General features: G+C 43.7%; 1 annotated feature.

The window, feature by feature from the left end:
- Positions 15,532-15,818: a transcriptional cis regulatory region, noted in NCBI's record as "candidate enhancer chr1.8432 targeted for multiplex CRISPR interference". NCBI's record gives its function as "positively regulates VPS45 gene expression with high confidence in K562 cells {active_cell/tissue: K562}" and the evidence as "EXISTENCE:mutant phenotype evidence [ECO:0000015][PMID:30612741]".

Genomic DNA, 20,452 nt, shown 5'->3' with positions numbered 1-20,452 from the left:
GACACAGAGTTTTACCATGTTGGCCAGGCTGGTCTTGAACTCCTGACCTTGGGTGATCTGCCTGCCTCGGCTTCCCAAAGTGTTGGGATTACAGGCATGAGCCACTGCGCCTGGCCTGGATGTTATATTTTTTACAAATTGAATGTTTATTGCAACCCTGCATCAAGCAAGTCTATCGGTGCCATTTTTCTAACAGCCCTAGTCACTTCATGTCTCTGTGTCACATTGTGGTAATCCTTATAATATTTTAAACTCTTAAATTATTATTATATCTTTTAAGGTGATCTATGATTAGTGATTTTTGTTCTTTTCCCAACCCTCAAGTGGAAACAGAGATGATCAGTGATCTTTGATGTTAGTATTGTAATTATTTTGGGGTGCCACAAATTGTGCCTATATAAAATGGTAAACTTAATGGATAAATTTGTGCGTTCCGACGGCTCTTCTGAATGGCCATTCCTGTGTCTCTCCCTCTCTTCAGGCCTCCCTATTCCCTGAGACACAACGACATTGAAATTAGGTCAATTAATAACTTTACAATGGCCTCTAAGTGTTTAATTGTAAAGAAGAGTTGCATGTCTTTCATGTTAAATCAAAAGCTAGAAATGATTACATTTAGTAAAGATGGCATTTCAAAAGCCAAGAAAGCTGAGATAGGCCAAAAACTAGGTCTCTTGTGCCAAGCAGCTAGCTAATGATAAGTTAGCCATGAATGATAAGAAAGCTAAACAGCCTTATTGCTGACATGGAGGAAGTTTGAGTGGTCTTAATAGAAGATCAAAACAGCCACAGCATGCCCTTAAACCAATCCCTAATCCAGAGCAAGGCCTTGTCTTCATTTCTGTCCCTTAGGAAATTCTAAGGGTTTTACTTAGTTTGTTTTTAGAGATGGGGGTCTCACTCCATTACCCAGTCTGGAGGGCAGTGGTGCAGTCATAGCTCATTGCAGCCTCAAACTCCTGGACTCAAGCAATCCTTCTGCTTCAGCCTCTCAAAGTGCTGGAATTACAGGCGTGAGCCACTGTGCCCATTCTCCAAGGGTTTTTGAACCCATGTGCTGGCAACCAGAGACAAAGATCAGACATATAGGCAAAGCTCAGAGATGCTGCAGTTTGTTTCCAAACCACAGAGGTGAGGAAGCTGCAGAAGAGTAGTTAAAAGCTAGCAGAGGTTGGTTCATGAGGAAAGAAGCTATCTCCATGACATAAAAGGGCAAGGTGAAGTAGCAAGTGCTGATGTAGGAACTGCAGCAAGTTATCCAGAAACTTTAGCTAGGATCATTGATGAAGGTGGCTCCATTAAACAACAGGTTTTCTTTTTCTTTTTCTTTTTTTTTTTGAGACAGAGTCTTGCTCTGTCACTTAGGCTGGAGTGCAGTGGTGCGGTCTTGGCTTACTATAGCCTCCACCTCTCAGGTTCAAGAGAGTCTCATGCCTCAGCCTCCCAAGTAGCTGGTACTACAGGTGTGCGCCACCACACCCAGCTAATTTTTGTATTTTAAGCAGAGATAAAGTTTCACTATGTTGCCCAGGCTGGTATTGAACTCCTGACCTCAAGTGATCCACTCATCTTGGCTTTCCAAAGTGCTGGGATTATAGGCGAGAGCCACCATGCCCAACCCAACTGGTAACTTTAAGTTGAAGCCAATGCTTATTTACCATTCCAAAAATTCTAGGATCCTAAAGTATTATGCAAAATCTACTCTGCCTGTGCTCTATCATTGGAAAAACAAAGCCTGGATTACAGCATATCTGTTTACAGCATGGTTTACTGAATACTTTTTTTTTGGTTTGTTTTTGATACAGGGTCTCATTCTGTCACCCAGGCTGGAGTGCAGTGGCACGATCGTGGCTCACTGCAGCCTCGACCTCATTGGGCTTGGGTGATCCTCTCACCCCAGCCTCCCTAGTAGCTGGGACCACAGGTAAGTGCTACCACACCTGGCTAATTTTTGTATTTTTTGTAGAGACAGAGTTTTGCCATGTTGCACAGACTGGTCTTAAACTCATGGGCTCAAGTGATCCTCCTGTCTTGGCCTCCCAAAGTGCTGGGATTGCAGGCACTAGCCACTTCACCTGGCCTATTAAATACTTTAAGCCCACTGTTGAGACCTACTCCTCAGAAAAAAGATTTCTTTCAAAATATTACTGCTCATTGACAATCCACCTGGTCACCCAAGACCTCTGATGGAGATGTAAAAGGAAATTACTGTTGTTTTTATGCCTGCTAACCCAACATCCATTCTGCCACCCAGGGATAAAGGAGCAATTTGGACTTTCAAGTCTTCTTATTTATGAAATATATTTCATAAGGCTATAACTGTCATTGATAGTGATTCCTCTGATGGATCTGGGCAAAGAAAATTGAAAACCTTCTGGAAAGGAATCACCATTCTAGATGCCATTAGAACATTTATGATTCAAGGCCAGGTGTGGTGGCTCACGCCTGTAATCCCAGCACTTTGGGAGGCCGAGGTGGGTGGATTGCCTGAGGTCAGGAGTTTGAGATCAGCCTGGCCAACATGATGAAACCCCATCTCTACTAAAAATACAAGAATTAGCCAGGTGTGGCAGTAGGCACCTGTAATCCCAGCTGCTTGGGAGGCTGTGGCAGGAGAACAGCTTGAACCTGGGAGGCAGAGGTTGCAGTCAGCCGAGATTGCACCATTGCACTCCAGCCTGGGCAATAAGAGTGAACCTCCATCTCAAAAAAACAAAAACAAAAGAAAAAGAACATTTATGATTCATGGGAGGAGGTCAAAATATCATTAACAGAAATTTGGAAGAAGTTGATTCCAATCCTCATGGATGACTTTGAGGAGTTTAAGACATCAGTGGAGGAAGGAACTGCAGATGTGGTAGAAATAGCAAGGGGACTAGATTTAGAAGTGGAGCTTGAAGATGAATCTGAATTGCCTCAATCTCATGATAAAACTTTAACAGATGTGGAGTTGCTTCTTATGGATAAGCAAAGAAAGAGATTTCTTGAGATGGAATCTACTTGTGAAGATTCTGTGAACATAGTGGAAATGACAACAAAGGATTTAAAATATTACAACAACTTAGTTGTTAAAGCAGTGGCAGGGTTTGAGGATTGATTCCAATTTTGAAAGAAATTCTACTGTAGTTAAACGCTATCAAAAAGCATCGCATGCTACAGAGCAATCTCTTGTGAAAGGAAAGGTCAATTGATGCAGCAATGTCATTGTTTTATTTAAGAAATTGCCGCAGCCACCTCAGGGTTCAGCAACCACCACTGTGATCAGTCAGCAGCCATCAACATCAAGCCAAGACTCTCCACCAGACTCAGACGATCGTTAGCATTTTTTTTAGCAATAAAGTATTTTCAAATTAAAATGTGTATACTTCTAAGACATAATGCTATTGCACACTTAATAGTCTACAGTATAGTATAAACATAACTTTTATAAGCACTGGGAAACCAAAAAATTTGTGTGACTCGCTTCATTGTGATATTCACTTTATTGCTGTGGTTTGGAACACAAACTGCAACATCTCTGAGCTTTGCCTATATGTCTGATCTTTGTCTCTGGTTGCCAGCACATGGGTTCAAAAACCCTTGGAAAATGGGCACAGTGGCTCACGCCTGTAATTCCAGCACTTTGAGAGGCTGATGCAGGAAGATTGCTTGAGTCCAGGAGTTTGAGGCTGCAATGAGCTATGACTGCACCACTGCCCTCCAGACTGAGTAATGGAGTGAGACCCCCATCTCTAAAAACAAACTAAAACCCTTAGAATTTCCTAAGGGACAGAAAGGGATATTTTTTTGTTATTCTTTATGATCCTCTTTTGACCATACCTGAGTTGATGTGACTGAATTAACACACTGTGAGTCCTTTGATATTTTCAAGGGACTGGCTGGTCACACCAGAAAGACCAAGCATAGGTTCAGAGGACTGAACTTTCAATCTTTCAATTTTACTGACCTACCCTACTCCCGGCAACCCTGATCTTCTTGGAGGAGAGAGAGTCTAGAGATTGGGTTCAATCAAGTGGCCAATGATTTCATGAATCATGCCCTACATAATGAAAACCTAATAAATACTCTAGACTCCAAGGCTCAGTGGAGCTTCCTAGTTTGTGAACACGTTGATGTACAGGGAGGGTGATGTACCCAGATTCCATGAGGAGAAGGCACGGGAAGCTCTGTTCCTGTTCCCTGCTCCCCCACCCTCAGACCTTGCCCTAAGTGTCTTTTTCATTGGTTGTTCTTGAATTGTATTTTTGTTTTTGGAGACAAAGTCTCTGTTGCCAGGCTGGAGTGCAGTGGCATGATCTTGGTTCACTGCAACCTCTGCCTCCCGGGTTCAAGCGATTCTCCTACCTTAGTCTCCCAAGTAGCTGGGACTACAGGTGCGCACCACCATGCCTGGCTAATTTTTGTATTTTTAGTAGAGACAGGGTTTCACCACGTTGGCCAGGATGGTCTTGATCTCCTGACCTCATGATCCGCCTACCTCGGCCTCCCAAAGTGCTGGGATTACAGGTGTGAGCCACCACGCCTGGTTTCTTTCTTTCTTTCTTTTTTTTTTGAGATGGAGTCTCACTCTTGTCACCTAGGCTGGAGTGTAATGGCACAATCTCGGCTCACTGCAACCTCTGCCTCCTGGGTTCAAGGGATTCTTCTGCCTCAGCCTCCCAAGTAGCTGGAATTACAGACGCCTGCCACTACTCCTGTCTAATTTTGTTGTATTTTTTTTTTCAGTAGAGATGGGGTTTCACCATGTTTGCCAGGCTGATCTTGAACTCCTGACCTCAGGTGATCCGCCTGCCTTGGCCTCCCAAAGTGCTGGGATTACGTGGGATTACAGATGTGAGCCACTGTGCCTGGCTTTTTTTTTTTTTGACAATCTTATTCTGCCACCCAGGCTGGAGTGCAGTGGTACAATCAGCTCACTGTAGCCTCAAGCTCCTGGACTCAAGCAGTCCTCCTGCCTCAGGCCTCTCAAGTAGTTGGGACTACAGGTGCATATCACCACGCCCTGGTTTTTTGTTTTATTGAATTGTATTCCTTTTTTTTTTTGAGGCAAAGAAAATTGTCATTCAGGTCTGTCATCCAGGCTGGAGTACAGTGGCACAAACATGGCTCACTGCAGCCTTGGCTTCTTGGGCTCAAGTGATCCTCCCACCTCAGCCTCTGTCTGAGTAGCTTAGGACCACAGGTGTGCACCACCACACCCAGCTAATTTTTAAAAAATTTTGTAGAGATGGGACTTGCCATGTTTCCCAGGCTAGTATCAAACTCCTGGGCTCAAGCAATCTTTCTGCCTTGGCCTCCCAAAATGTTGAGATTCCGGGCATGAACCACTGCATCTGCAGTGAATTCTATTCTTTTTTTTTTTTTTTGTGAGGGAGTCTCGCTCTTGTCACCCAGGCTGGAGCGCAGTGGCGTGATCTCTGCTCACTACAAGCTCCACCTCCCGGGTTCACGCCATTCTCCTGCCTCAGCCTCCCTAGTAGCTGGGACTACAGCCGCCTGCCACCACGCCTGGCTAATTTTTTGTATTTTTAGGGGAGACGAGGTTTCATCGTGTTAGCCAGGATGGTCTCAATCTCCTGACCTCATGATCCGTCCGCCTCAGCCTCCCAAAGTGCTGGGATTACAGGCATGGGCCACCGCGCCTGGCTGTGAATGCTATTCTTTATGATACAAATGTGATGTTAAATAACAGTTGTATTATTTACCCAGAACAGTGGGTTCTGGGTTGTTCTAGCAAATTATTGAACCTGAGGAGGTTGTGGGAAGCCCCGAATTTATAGTTGTGTGGGCAGAAGTTTGGGTGGTTTGGGGACACCCAAGATGCAATTTTGTGAAGGACTTTGTCCTTAACCTGTGGATTCTGCACTTAAGGTTCATAAATTTGGAAACAAGAGTTTTATTTTTTATGATGGATTGCAGCCTGCAGGCTGGGAAGTGTAGCCTCTGGTAGAAACTGAAAGCAGGCACTTTGAGGGAGGAGAGGGTGAGGCAGGAATTTATGCTGAATGGATTGGCTTTGTATACAGTCAACAGGTTACAGGAGGAGCTGTGAATATTCATAAAGAGGGGGGCACATGCTAGTAAGTCAAAATGCGTGTTACAAATGTCACATGTTTACTTTGGGGTGGTGACTTAATATTTAAATGTATTAAAATTAGGCTGTAATGTCAGAAAGTAATTAAAATTAGGCTGTAATGTCAGAAAGTGAAATGGAGGACATAGAGGCATCCTGTGTACAGCCTCTGTAAAGTGGCCAGAACAAGTCCACGGACAGTGGTCTCTTGACCAAGAGGGGGCCCATTCAGTTGGCTGGGAGTACTTAGGATTTCATTTTTATTTCTCAGTAGGTAGTATCAGAATTGAAATGTAGAACACCCAGTTGACACCCGAGAATTGGTGTTAGAATGCAGTTTGATTAATGTAACAATGATAATAATTCTAACACTATTCTCCTAGTCCCCAACTTCAGTCATACCTCATCTCTTATAACCAGGCTGTCTTGTATGTCCCATTCTTTACAGATCTATGGACTATTTTATTTGATGCATCACGAACCCCCTCTATTCCTGAAGTAGCTCTCTGACTTTTCCTATTCTTTTCTCTTTTTCTACTATAATGAATTTTAAATAATAATGACAAATCAATTTTCCCAAATGGACAACTTTATTAGTAATACTCCTTTTAATTTAATTAATTAATTAATTAATTTATTTATTTTTTTGAGATGGTGTCTCAGTCTGTCGCCCAGGCTAGAGTGCAGTGGCATGATCTCAGCTTACTGCAGCCTCTGCCTCCCAAGCTCAAGCAGCCTCCCACCTCAGCCCCCCAAGTAGCCGGGATCACAGGCATGCACCACCATGCCCAGTAAATTTTTGTATTTTTAGTAGAGACGAAGTTTTGCCATGTCGCCCAGGCTGGTCGCAAACTCCTGAGCTCAAGGGATCCACCCACTCGGCCTCCCAAAGTGCTGAGATTACAGGCGTGAGCCACCACACCTGGCCAGTAATACTCCTTTACTTAAAAATATTCTGTGCACCCTAATGGCTGGGCGTGGTGGCTCACGCCTGTAATCCCAGCACTTTGGGAGGCCAAGGCAGGCAGATCACCTGAGGTCAGGAGTGCAAGACTAGCCTGACCAACATGGAGAAACCCTGTCTCTACTAAAAATACAAAATTAGCCAGGTGTGGTGGCACATGCCTGTAATCCCAGCTACTTGGGAGGCTGAGGCAGGAGAATCGCTTGAACCCGGGAGGCAGAGGTTGCAGTGAGCCAAGATCGTGCATTGCAACTCCAGCTGGGCAACAAGAGTGAAACTCTGCCTCGAAAAAATATATATATATATTCTGTGCACCCTCATTGCTTATTCATCAAGGTTCTCTATACTCCAGCCCCTTCTTCCTGAGTTACTTCCACTCTTTCCCTAGATATACTCTACTTTCTGACCACACTGACCTTCTCATGACCATATGTTGTGGGTTGAATTGTGTCCTTCAAAAAGATATGTTCAAGTTCTAATGCCTACCTATGAATGTGACCTTATTTGGAGATAGAGTCATTGTAGATGTAGTTAAGATGATGTCCTAGTGGGTGGGTGGGCTCTAATCCAGTATAAGCTATGTACCTATGAGAGGAGGAGATATAGATACAGACGCAGAGCTGGGGGGCATGTGAACAGAGAGACATATAAAGAAAACAACATATCACGGTGGAGGCAGAGATTGGAGTGATGTGTGTCTACAAACCAAAGAATGCCAAGAATTGTCTGCAACCACCAGAAGCTAAGAAGCAGCAAGGAAAATCCTCTCTTAGAGCCTTCAGAGAAAGTATTGCCCCACCCACAACTCTATGTCAGACTTCTGGCCTTCAGAACTGTGAGAGATTTCTGCTGTTTTAAGCCACCCAGTTTGTGGTACCTTGTTCCAGCAGCCCTGGGAAATGAATACACAAATCTCTCTGTCTTTGCTCACACTTTTCCCTCTGCCTGGAAGGTTTTCCATCTCATCAAGATCCCACCCACCTTCAGGCAGTCTCTTTCATGGACCCCTGGAGACAGTCTTTCTCTTGCATATCCATGGGTTGCTTGTCTAGACTACCCTCATGATGCAGCCATTACTCAGCCTCTTACCATTATTCTTTCTGTCCCCACAACAGAGAAAACTGAAAGGCAGTACTCGTCTCAGGGAAATTCTCTGGAGGGTAGGAACTCTCTTTGTGTCTTCCATATTTTGTAGCATTGTCTTGCTTACAATGTCGGTTTAGGTTCTTTTTTTTTTTTTTTTTTTGAGTACGGAGTCTCACTCTGTCGCCCAGGATGGAGTGCAGTGGTGCGATCTCAGCTCACTGCAAGCTCCGCCTTCCAGGTTCATGCCATTCTCTTGCCTCAGCCTCCCGAGTAGCTGGGACTACAGGCGTCCGCCACCATGCCTGGCTAATTTTTTGTATTTTCAGTAGAGACGGGGTTTCACTGTTAGCCAGGATGGTCTGGATCTCCTGACCTCGTGATCCGCCCACCTCGGCCTCCCAAAGTGCTGGGATTACAGGCATGAGTCACCGCGCCCGGCCGGTTTAGATCTTTATAACCAACCCGCTTAGTTGTGATTAGCTGTCTCATTACAGAAATGTAAGACAGAAAGATCTTAAGTATAGCTTAAAAATGGCTGGAGTTGGCCGGGCGCAATGGCTTACGCCTATGATCCCAGCACTTTGGGAGGTCGAGGCGGCGGATCACGAGGTCGAGATTGAGATCATCCTGGCCAACATGGTGAAACCCCATCTCTACTAAAAATACAAAAAAATTAGCTGGGCGTGGTGGCACATGCCTGTAGTCCCAGCTACTGGGAGGCTGAGGCAGGAGAATCACTTGAATCTGGGAGGCGGAGGTTGCAGTGAGCCGAGATCGTGCCACTACACTCCACGCCGTGGGTGACAGAGCGAGACTCTGTCTACAAAAAAAAAAAAAAAAAGGATGGAGTTTGCTTTTTTTTGATATCATCCCTTCAACCCACACTGTACTTGATGTTTAGACTTAAAGCATACAGTTTTCTACAGACATTTTAGTAGCACATCAAGGAGAAAAAAATTATGTAAAACATCTCAAAAGAGAAATACAGTAAAATCTCCAAGTTACTATAGGTATATATAATCCATGTTACCAATTCAGATTAAACTGCTTAGTAGGAGGACACCTTGATGCCCACATTGATGCCAGCTGAAAATAAAGAAAATGTTCTGTAATGAACTAATTTATTCTAAACACACTATTTGAAAAGTCAGTCTACTACATGACCATTAGTTAGGGCTAAGAAGAAATCAACTCATGTCCTAATTGAAGCCAAAGGCCAAATGATATTGACACATCACAGGAGAAACAGGAGAATTTTTGAAGCTTACTTTCTTAAGATGTAAGTGCTAAACTGAATTGGCCAATTTAGAAAACAGCATCTGGATTAAACATTCTTGTTTTTCTTAAGCATTTTGGGAAAGATGAGGGACTAGTCTGTGTACAGAGTTATCTGCATAAAGTTTCAAGAGTCATAATCATAAGAACAATGAACATTATGTTGGGATTTTATCTTTTCCAAATTTGTCAATATATTGGCAAAGGAAGAAAAGTTTTCTTTTTAGAGTATGTGCTATTGCTTTAGTTATTTGGAGGAATTACAAGCCTTAAAAGTTGCAATTAGGATTCCTTAAGAGGGTCGGGTGTGGTGGCTCATGCTTGTAATCCCAGCACTTTGGGAGGCAGAGGTGGGCGGATCCCTTGAAGTCAGGAGTTCGAGACCAGCCTGGCTAACATGGTGAAACCCCGCCTCTACTAAAAATACAAAAATTAGCTGGTGTGGTGGCGCACGCCTGTAGTCCTAGCTACTCGGGGGGCTGAGGCAGGAGAATCGCTTGAACCCGGGAGGAGGAGGTTGCAGTGAGCCGAGATTGCGCCGCTACACTCCAGCCTGGGCAACGAAGTGAGGCTCCATCTCGGGAAAAAAAAAGAAAAAGGATTCTTGAAGAGTGTCCAAATAATACCTTGCAGGAAAATGAAGAGTGTATGGATGCTGCAATCAAGAGGAATTCTGGGAACTGCGAGATGAGAATGAGGCCTAACAGGTGCCATGCAGCGAGCTTTCGCAGTGGCAGCTTCCACTGTTAAAATGATAGTGGAACAAGATGAGACTAAATTGTCAGTGATTTCTCTCTATATTATGGGGATAGACCTGTTTTCTTCATTTATCAAGCTCTGCTCTCTCCTACAGACATACCTTGCTTTTTAACAACTGCCGAAAAGGTCAGCTTTCTGCTAAAGGGTCACATCAAAATAGCATTGTTAACGTTACCATTTTTGTCTTCTGAATCAGATTCTATTTTCTGAATCAAATTTCAGCCTGTTTGACAGCCAGTGTGGTTGGGCTGCTGGACTTTATCTCTTGAGATTTGATAGGTAGCTGCTTAGAATTTTCCACATATTTAAATGCATGTGTCATGTCTACTAAATGTGTCTGGTATTGCTAGAGTGGTGCTCCTTATTGTGTGTATATTTGCCCTGGATTTTAATTCTGGAATACATTATTCACTTAAAGGTAAATAGCAAGTATATTTGAGCAAAAACATTTTTATTAGCAACCATAAAAAGGGTGCATACAGTTTTATAGCCAACATGATAATATGAGATGTAATTGGACAGGCACGGTGGCTCACGCTTGTAATCCCAGCACTTTGGGAGGCCGAGGCGGGTGGATCACGAGGTCAGGAGATCGAGACCATCCTGGCTAACATGGTGAAACCCTGTCTCTACTAAAAAAAAAAAAACAAAAAACAAGACAAAAATTAAGCCGGCGTGGTGGTGGGTGCCTGTAGTCCCAGCTACTTGGGAGGCTGAGGCAGGAGAATGGCGTGAACCCAGGAGGCGGAGCTTGCAGTGAGCCGAGATCGCCCCACTGCACTCCAGCCTGGGCGACAGGGCAAGACTCCATCTAAAAAAAAAAATACATATATATATGAGATGTAATTATTTAAATGCCACAATTCTGACTGAACGGGATAGTCAAAGTACTAAAAGACTAATAAAATGCTCCTGTATTAGTTTCATATTGTTGCTATAACAAATTACCACAAATGAAGCCACTTAACACAAATTAATTTTCTTACAGTTTTAGAGGTTAGATGATGGAAATGGATCTTACGGTGCTAAAATCAAGGTGTCCACAGGGCTGTGTTCCTTCTGCGGGCTCTAGGGGAGAATCTGTTCTTTGGCTTTTCCAGCTTCTAGATGCTGCCCGAATTCCTTGGCTCATGGCCCCGCTTCATCTCAAAGCTAACTATTGCACCACGCTGACCTCCACTTCCAGCATCTCTGGCTCTGACTTTCCCGTTTCCCTCTTTTACTTATAAGGACTCTTGTGATTACGCTGGGCCCAGGATAATCTCCCCGCCTCAAAATCCTTAACTTCATCACACCTGCAAAATCCCTTTTGTCCTGTAAGGTAACATATTCACTCTGAGGATTAGGACATGGACTTAGGGTGAGGAGGGATTATTCTGCCTGCCACAGTTCCTTAATATAAAAACCTAAGGAATTTTCCTTCACCTAAGGGATTTAAAGTGCTAAGAAATTAGCAATGAATATATAAACAAATTTCTACCATAATTTGTTTTTTAGAAAAACTTCTGGATGTTTTAAATAATTGCATATTCCAGAATAGCTTGACTTTTTTATATAACTGAAAAAAGATCCTTTTAATATCTGGTGACATATACCTCTCCTCTCTCTGTGATCAGAATGATATATTTCCAGATTTTGTGTTTTGCTTTAGCTTTTTACTTCCAAGTCATATGACTTTTCTAGGTTATAGTTTCAAATATATATATTCTAAATCATTTGGTTGCCCTTTAAAGATGAAAGCATAAGAACTATTTGCACTTTGCTTTATTGTATGATTAGAAGACTTTCTAATTGCATTAATCAGAATGGGGCCAGGTGCGGTGGCTCACACCTGTAATCCCAGCACTTTGGGAGGCCGAGGCTGGTGGATGGCTTGAGCCCAGGAGTTCAAGACCAGCCTGGGCAACATGGTAAAACCTGTCTCTACCAAATCCATCCCACCCTGTGCCCCCTCCAAAATTAGCAGGGTGAGTTGGCACGTGCCTGTAGTCTCAGGTACTCTGGAGGCTGAGACAGGAGGATTGCTTGAGCTCAGGAGGCAGAGGTTGCAGTGAGCTGAGATCATGTTGCTGTACTCCAGCCTGGTGACAAAGCACGACCCTGTTTCAAAAGAAAAAAAAAGAGAGAGAGAGAGAAAGAGAATAGGATGAACCCAGTAAAAACAGAGTCAGTAATGCCACAGCCTCTGAAGAAGAGATCGGGCAGTGATCACAAACCGCTCTGGGTAGCTGTATTAGTCAGGGTTCTCTAAAGGGACAGAACTAATGGGAGAATAAAGGGGAGTTTATTAACTCACATGATCACAAGGTCCCACAATAGGCCATCTGCAGGCTGAGGAGTAAGGAGAGCCAGTCCGAGTTCCAAAACTGAAGAACTTGGAGTCTGATGTTCGAGGGCAGGAAGCAGCCAGCACGGGAGGAAGATGTAGGTTGGGAGGCTAGGCCAGTCTCTCTTTTCACATTTTTCTGCCTGCTTATATTCTAGCTGCACTGGCAGCTGATTAGGGTGCCAGATTAAGGGTGGATCTGCCGTTCCCGGCCCACTGACTCAAATGTTAATCTCTTTTTGCAACACCCTCACGGACACACCCAGGATCAATACTTTGCGTCCTTCAATCCAATCAAGTTGACACTCAGTATTAACCGTTACAGTAGCTAAAACAGATTTCCATTCCAACGGTCTGCTAATAAGAGCTTGACGATTGTAGAGCTCTATGACTTTCAATTTCACTAAATGATAAAAAAAACTAGGTCTGAAAATGTTAATAAAGAATGAAATATTTTTAATTATACAAATGTATTTAGGCCGGGCATGCTGGCTAATGTCTGTAATACCAGCACTTTGGGAGGCCAAGGAGGGCAAATCACTTGAGCTCTGGAGTTCAAGACCAGCCTGGGCAATATGGTGAAACCCCGTCTCTACTAAAATTACAAAAATTAGCCAGGCGTGGTGGTGCGTGCCTGTAGTCCCTGTTACTCTGGAGGCTGAGGCACGAGAATCACTTGAGCCCGGGAGGCAGGGAGGTTGCAGTGAGCAGAGGTTGCACCACTGCACTCTAGCCTGGGCGACAGAGCGAGACTCTGTCTCAAAAAAAAAAATTATTATTTTTTGAGACAGAAAAAAATTATTATTTTTTTGATACAGGTTGCTCACTGCAACCTCCGCCTCCCAGACTCAAATGATTCTCGTGCCTCAGCCTCCCCAGAAACTGGGATTACAGGCATGCACCACCAAGCCTGGCTAATTTTTTGTATTTTTAATAGAGACGGGGTTTCACCATGTTGCCCAGGCTGGTCGCAAACTCCTGGCCTCAAGTAATCCACCTGTCTCAGTCTCCCAAACTGCTGGGATTACAGGCATGAACCACTGCTCCCGGCCCGATTATTCTTATTTTTTGTTTAGTTCTTCAGTGAAATCAACTAAGTCAGTGAGAAATTTGATGAGGGGAGGAAGTTAGTGACAGTCCAAACTCCTTTTTTATTTTTTAAATATCAAGTTCTCAGTAATTTGCAAGTGTTAAAATTCATAGAACTAGCCAGGCACGGTGGCTCACACCTGTAATCCCAGCACTTTGGAAGGCTGAGGCAGGCGGATCACGAGGTCAAGAGATCATGACCATCCTGGCCAACATGGTGAAACCCCGTCTCTATTAAAAACACAAAAATTAGCCGGGTGTGGTGGCGGACGTCTGTAATCCCAGCTACTTGGGAGGCTGAGGCAGGAGAATTGCTTGAACCCGGGAGACGGAGGTTGCAGTGAGCTGAGATCGTGCCACTGCACTCCAGCCTGGGAGACAGAGTGAGACTCCGTCTGGAAAAAAAAAATCACAGAACCAAGGTTTATAAGCATAATGCACTTGTATGAAGAATAATCATTCATAGCAGATTGGAATAAACCCTCCTAAATATCTTTCTAAAAGCCAGATTTGAAACTTATTTTGATATTTGATAAGAATTTTCATATTAGGCTGACAATCAATACAGGTTCCTGGTTGGCTGGCATTATTAATGCTGAGCCTTAACGCTTTGCTAGAGCCCCTCTCCTTTTTTTTTTTTTGAGACAGAGTCTTGCTCTGTTGCCCAGGCTGGAGTGCAGTGGGGCAATCTTGGCTCACTGCAGCCTCCCTGCCCCCTAGGCTCAAGGGATTCTCATGCCTTAGCCTCCAGAATAGCTGGGACTACAAGCACCTGCCACTGAACCCGGCTAATTTTGTATTTTTAGTAGAGATGGGGTTTTGCCATGTTGCCAAGGCTGGTCTTGAACTCCTGCCCACCTCAGCCTCCCAAAGTGCCGGGATTACAGGCACGAGCCACCACATCTGGCCAGAGCCCTTTTTTTGAGTACAAATGCTCAGACCTCCCTTCTTCCTTTTCCCTACCACATTCTCTGCATTTGGCTAGAAGGGCAAGCTTTGTTTGTGATGCACTTTGAAAGGAAGTGAAGAGGTCTAAGAGGTAAAGCTGGAACAGAAAGCTAAAGGTGTAAAAAATGTCCCAATGGCCAGGACTTTGCGGGTACGTGGAGGCGGGGAGCTGAAAATCTTAATTCTCTACCTCCTTGTTTTTCATGCAGAAATGAAGTTCTTTATCTCATTCAATGGAATTAGCCCAGAGAAGCCCTTTTCCCTTACAATTTTCAGGTCTAATGTGAATGTTTTGGACAACCTTTAGACTAATACAGTGGATCTCAAGCAGGGGTGATTTTGTTCCCCTGGGGACATTTAGCTGTGTCTGGAGATATTTTTGGTTGTCACACCGGGATGTGTGTGGGAGTGCTACTGCATCAAGTGGGAAGATGCCAGGGGTGCTGCCAAAACGTCCCACAGTGCACAAGACAGCCCCGCAACAAAGGGTGATCAGAATGCCAGTAGTGTGAAGGTGAAAAATCTTGGGTTAATAGGATATTATTTAGTTTTTGACAGATTTTCCATGCTTTGAGGTCAGTTAAAAGGGTAGTGTGTAAAATTTTTATTATAAAAGTATAAACACTAGAGGGCAGTACCTGCCCGATAATTGCAACGGATGTGACTTTGGGCGGGGTCTCTGAAGGAAAAAAAAAAGAAGCTAGTGATTTAGGTAACTGGAAGATAAGTGACTATAGGAGACCCTTAAAGAGGTATTTAAGTAATTTTAAATCAAAAGACAGTTTTGCTTGGTGTGGTGGTGTGCCTGTAGTCCCAGCTCTGCTTGAGCCCAGGAGATGGAGACCTGTCTGGGCAGCATAGCAAGACCCCATTTTTTTTTTTTTAAAGAGTTTTAACAACTACTGCTTCTGAGGTCAGGAAAAGCAGAACAAGCAGTTTTTTCTTCTGCTTTTCTATAATGATGGCTTGTGAGCTTTTGCCAGAGAAGGGAAAATTCACACTAGGTTTTCACACACACAAACACTAACGTCATTGCCACTTACACTTCTATTTGCTCTGATGAGGCAGATGATGGAAAGTCGCTATTCCTAGGGCATGTAGATCATTGTAATGCTGTGAGAGATGTGTCTGGAACAGGGGAACTTGGAGCAGACAGGCAAAACATCACGACTGAGTCCGTTAGACAAGTCAGAATCTGACTCAGCTCTTTTTTTTTTTTTTTTTTTTCCCGAGATGAAAAAAACCTCCAGCCCAGGCTGGAGTTCAGTGGTGCAATCTCTGCTTGGCTCACTGCAACTTCCACCTACCGGGTTCAAGCGATTCTTGTGCCTCAGCCTCCCCAGTAGCTGGGACTACAGGCACGCGCCACCATGCCCAGCTAATTTTTGTATTTTTTTGTTGTAGACATGGGGTTTCACCACATTGGCCAGGCTGGTCTCCAACTCCTGACCTCAGGTGATCCGCCTGCCTCGGCCTCTCAAAGTGCTGGGATTACAGGCATGAGCCACCGTGTACAGCCTGACTCAGCTCTTTTGAAACGGATCAATAATATCTAGTTTGTTGCTTGAAGCTATTTACATTAGCTAGCTATGCAAGAATGTAGTACAATTTTCTGTTTTCTCCTAAGGTTCAGTCCAATTTTAAAAAATGAAACAAATAGGCTGGGCGTGGTGGCTCACGCCTGTAATGCCAGCACTTTGGGAGGCTGAGGCAGGTGGATCACGAGGTCAGGAGATTGAGACCATCCTGGCTAACACGGTGAAACCCCGTCTCTACTAAAAATACAAAAATTAGCTGGGCGTGGTGGTGGGCGCTTGTGTTCCCAGCTACTCAGGAGGCTGAGTCAGGAGAATGGCGTGAACACGGGAGGTGGAGCTTGCAGTGAGCCAAGATTGCCCCACTGCACTCCAGCCCAGGCGACAGAGCGAGACTCCATCTCTAAAAAAAAAGAAGAAAGAAGAAAGAAACAAATGGGGCATTTTTTGTTTTTAGTGTCAGAAATCTGGGCTCAAACCAAGTTTTTGGATATGTTAATATAAGCTGACCTCACCTCTGCCCTCAAATAGGACAAACCATTTGCTAAATTCACATTAAATCTACACATTCCTGGCTGGGCGTAGTGGCTCATGCCTGTAATTCCAGCACTTTGGGAGATCAAGGCAGGTGGACCACTTGAAGTCAGGAGTTCGAGACCAGCCTGGCCAACATGGTAAAACTCTACTAAAAATACAAAAATTAGCCAGGCATGGTGGTGCACGCCTGTAGTCCCAGATACTCAGGATCTGGGCGTGAGCCCAGATCACGCCACTGTAGTCCAGCCTGGGTGACAGAGCGAGACTCTATCTAAAAAAACAAAAAAAAACAAAAAAAAGCCCAAAACTGCACATTTCTTTTTATTTATTATTAAATATTTAAGGTACACAGTGGTATCAAGAATGGACATTGATCGACTTGTCACTCAGTTTAAAAAATGAAACATCAACAATGCAGTTGAAGCCCCCTGTGCATCCTTCTCCAGTTGTATCCTTCTCCTGCCTCCCCCTGACGTCATTCCCAGGTAAATGAGTTTGATGTGGAACATTCCTTTTTGTTTTTTGAGACAAGAGTCTTACTCTGTCACCGAGGCTGGAGTGCAGTGGCACAATCTTGGCTCACTGCATCCTCTGGCTCCCGGGTTCAGTGATTCTCCTGCCTCAGCCTCCTGAGTAGCTAGGGTTACAGATGCGCAACAACACACCTGGCTAATTTTTGAATTTTTAGTAGAGATGGGGTTTCGCCATGTTGGCCAGGCTGGTCTTGAACTCCTGATCTCAAGTGATCCACCTGCCTCAGCTCCCAAAGTGCTGGGATTACAGGCATGAGCCACTGCGCATGGCCTGTTCAGACTTTTATTATATATGTTAAATATGCTCAGTAATATATAATTTCTGCATATTTAAAATTTGTATATAAATGACGTTGTAACTGTTCTTCTGTAATTTGTGTTTTCTCTTAAATAGGTTTGTAAGATCATCCATGTTGATACATGTAACTCCAGTTTTTGTCTACCAACATTTTTGGTATCTGCATACTTGCTAATTCACATAATGATGTTATGAACATTCTCATGTGTAGTTGAGTTATGTGTATGTAAGAGTTCTTTTTGTCTGTTTGTTTTTAAGACAGAGTCTTGCTCTGTCACCCAGGGTGGAATGCAGTGGCACGACTTCGGCTCACTGCAACATCTGCCTCCTGGGTTCAAGCGGTTTTCGTGCCTCAGCCTCCCAAGTAGCTGGGACCACGGATGCGCGACACCACACTCAGTTAATTTTTGTATTTTTAGTAGAGACAGGGTTTCACTGTGTTGGCCAGGCTGGTCTTGAACTCCTGGCCTCATGTGATCTGCCCACCTTGGCCTCCCAAAGTGCTGGGATTATAAGCGCGAGCCACTGTGCCTGGCCTGTAAGAGTTCTTTAGAGCAGGGATTGGCAAACCATGGTCTGGCCCGTGGACCCTCCACCTTTTTTTTGTATGACCCAGACACTAAGGTGGTTTTTACATTTCTGAATGGTTTTTAAAAATGGAAAGACTAATATTTTATGACACATGAAAATTCAAGTTTCAGTGTCCATAAGTAAAGTTTTATTGGAACAGCCATGCTCATGCATTTATATATTACCTAAGGCCGTTTTCAGGCCTAGTGAGTGGTTGTAACAGAGACTGGATGGCGTGCAAAGCCTAAAATATCTGGTATCTAATTCTATGCAGAAAATGTTTGCTGATTACTGCTCTAGTGTGTACGTGGAATGAAATTGCTGGGTTCCACATATTCATTTTTTGCTGTCTTATCAATTAGATCTATTTTTTAAAAATGCAAAACTCTATAATCTGTGCATCAGATTATGTTTTCTAAAACCCTTTTTTCTTTCCTTTTTTTTTTTAATGAGGCCTCACTATGTTGCCTGGGGTGGATACAAATTCCTGGGCTTAAGCTATCCTTCTGCCTCAGCCTCCCGAGTAGCTAGGACAACAGGCATGTGCCAGCCTGCCCAGCCTTTCTGAAGCTCTTAAACAAACATAAAAAGAACTCTCTGGATCTTATGTTTTCATTTTGTTTAAGTAATGAGCTTTAAATACATCCTTGTATAGCTTCCTTTCCTCTCACTTCAGTGGTCCTGATTGTTGTAGTGGTAAGGAATACCAATTAGGTTTATCTTTCTTTGGAGTGGAGAAAAGACTAGGAAAATAACAGACTCGTATAATTTTTGAACTTCAAGATCTTTTTTTTTTTTCAGACGGAGTTCTGCTCTTGTTGCCCAAGCCAGAGTGCCATGGCGCAATCTCAGCTCATTGCAACCTCCGCCTCCCAGGTTCAAGGAATTCTCCTGCCTCAGCCTCCCGAGTAGCTGGGATTACAGGCGTGCGCCAAACACGCCTGGCTAATTTTTTGTGTTTTTAGTAGAGATGGGGTTTTACCATGTTAGCCAGGCTGGTCTCGAACTCCTGACCTCAGATGATTCGCCCGCCTCGGCCTCCCAACATGCTGGGATTACAGACATGAGCCACTGCTCGGCCCAAGATCTCTTTTAAATACCCAAGAATAAGTCAGCTAAAAAACACAAGTGTTGGTCACTGGCTTTTATCGGTCACTGGCTTTTCTGCCCTCTACTAGAATATAGAGTCCATAAAGACAGCAATTTTTGTCTACTTTTGTTTTTACTTGTAAAAATGCCTAGCATGTCGTAGATGCTCAAGGAATATTTATTAGTTGAATGAATATGAAGAACTCCATTCATCTGGATGAAAACTTGAAATTCACTGAACTATTTGGACATAATACATTAATATTTAACAATACTGTATTTGGAATTATGGAAGGCACTTCCTGTTTTCTTCTTCTTCTTTTTTTTTTTTTGTGAGACTGAGTTTCACTCTTGTTACCCAGGCTGGAGTGCAGGCTCAGTCTTGGATCACTGCAACCTCTGTCTCCTGGGTTCAAGCGATTCTCCTGCCTCAGCTCCCGAGTAGCTGAGATTACAGGTGTGCACCACCATGCCTGGCTAATTTTTTGTATTTTTAGTAGAGATGGGGTTTCACCATCTTGGCCAGGCTGATCTTGAACTCCTGACCTCGTGATCTGCCTGCCTTGGCCTCCCAAAATGCTGGGATTATAAGCATGAGCCACTGTGCCCGGCTAAAAAGATTTTTAAAAAATTACTTTATTGAGGTAAAATTCACATGTGAAAATATTTCTATTTTTACATTTTGGAAGGCTGTATTATTTGATTGGGAAAAGATAGATGGGCTGTGCACATTTATTTTTTGTTTTTAAATTTTTTTGTTACTCCACACCCTGAAGAGTCCCTTATTGTTGATTCCCAGGGTTGAGGACTGAGTTTTTTTTTTTTTAATTAGTACTGGTTTCTATGGGATGCAAACTTTTCTCTAATAGCTGAAAGCAGAGGCTTCTGGGTGCTTTCAAATTTATTCTTTCTTCACGGTTTTAAAAGAGGCCCTTGCCTCTTCTGTGTGTCGTTATGCGTACTGGAGTGCAGAATAGAAAATGCAAAACAAGAGAGCCGTACAGGAGGTTTTTCTTTTTAAAGGAGTTGATAGACAAATGGCACAGAGTTCACTGTTCTCGCCAGCTGAGAGTTTAGCTTCCAGAAAGCACTACTTTAGGGAACAAGTGAAGCAGTGTGGAGGGCCTGAAAGGCTTCATTGACACAGCAGCCGGGAGGCTCTTGTAGCACATTGTCTGGGGTGCGGTGCCTTCGGAAACCAGCTCTCGAGATGTCTACACCCCCAACATCCCCAACGCTGAAAACATTCGGGTTTTTTTTTTTGGTTGTTTTTGCCATTATACTTGGTTTTCCAAGTGAGATTCCTGAAAAGGTATTTGCTTTTATTTGTTTTTGTTTATTAGTTTCCTCTGGGTGTCAGTCAGTTCTTC

Source organism: Homo sapiens, chromosome 1, assembly GCF_000001405.40.
Source record: "Homo sapiens chromosome 1, GRCh38.p14 Primary Assembly".
Classification (NCBI taxonomy): Eukaryota; Metazoa; Chordata; class Mammalia; order Primates; family Hominidae; genus Homo; species Homo sapiens.
The sequence above is the reverse complement of the archived record's forward strand: the minus strand, read 5'-3'. Positions and strand labels throughout refer to the sequence as shown.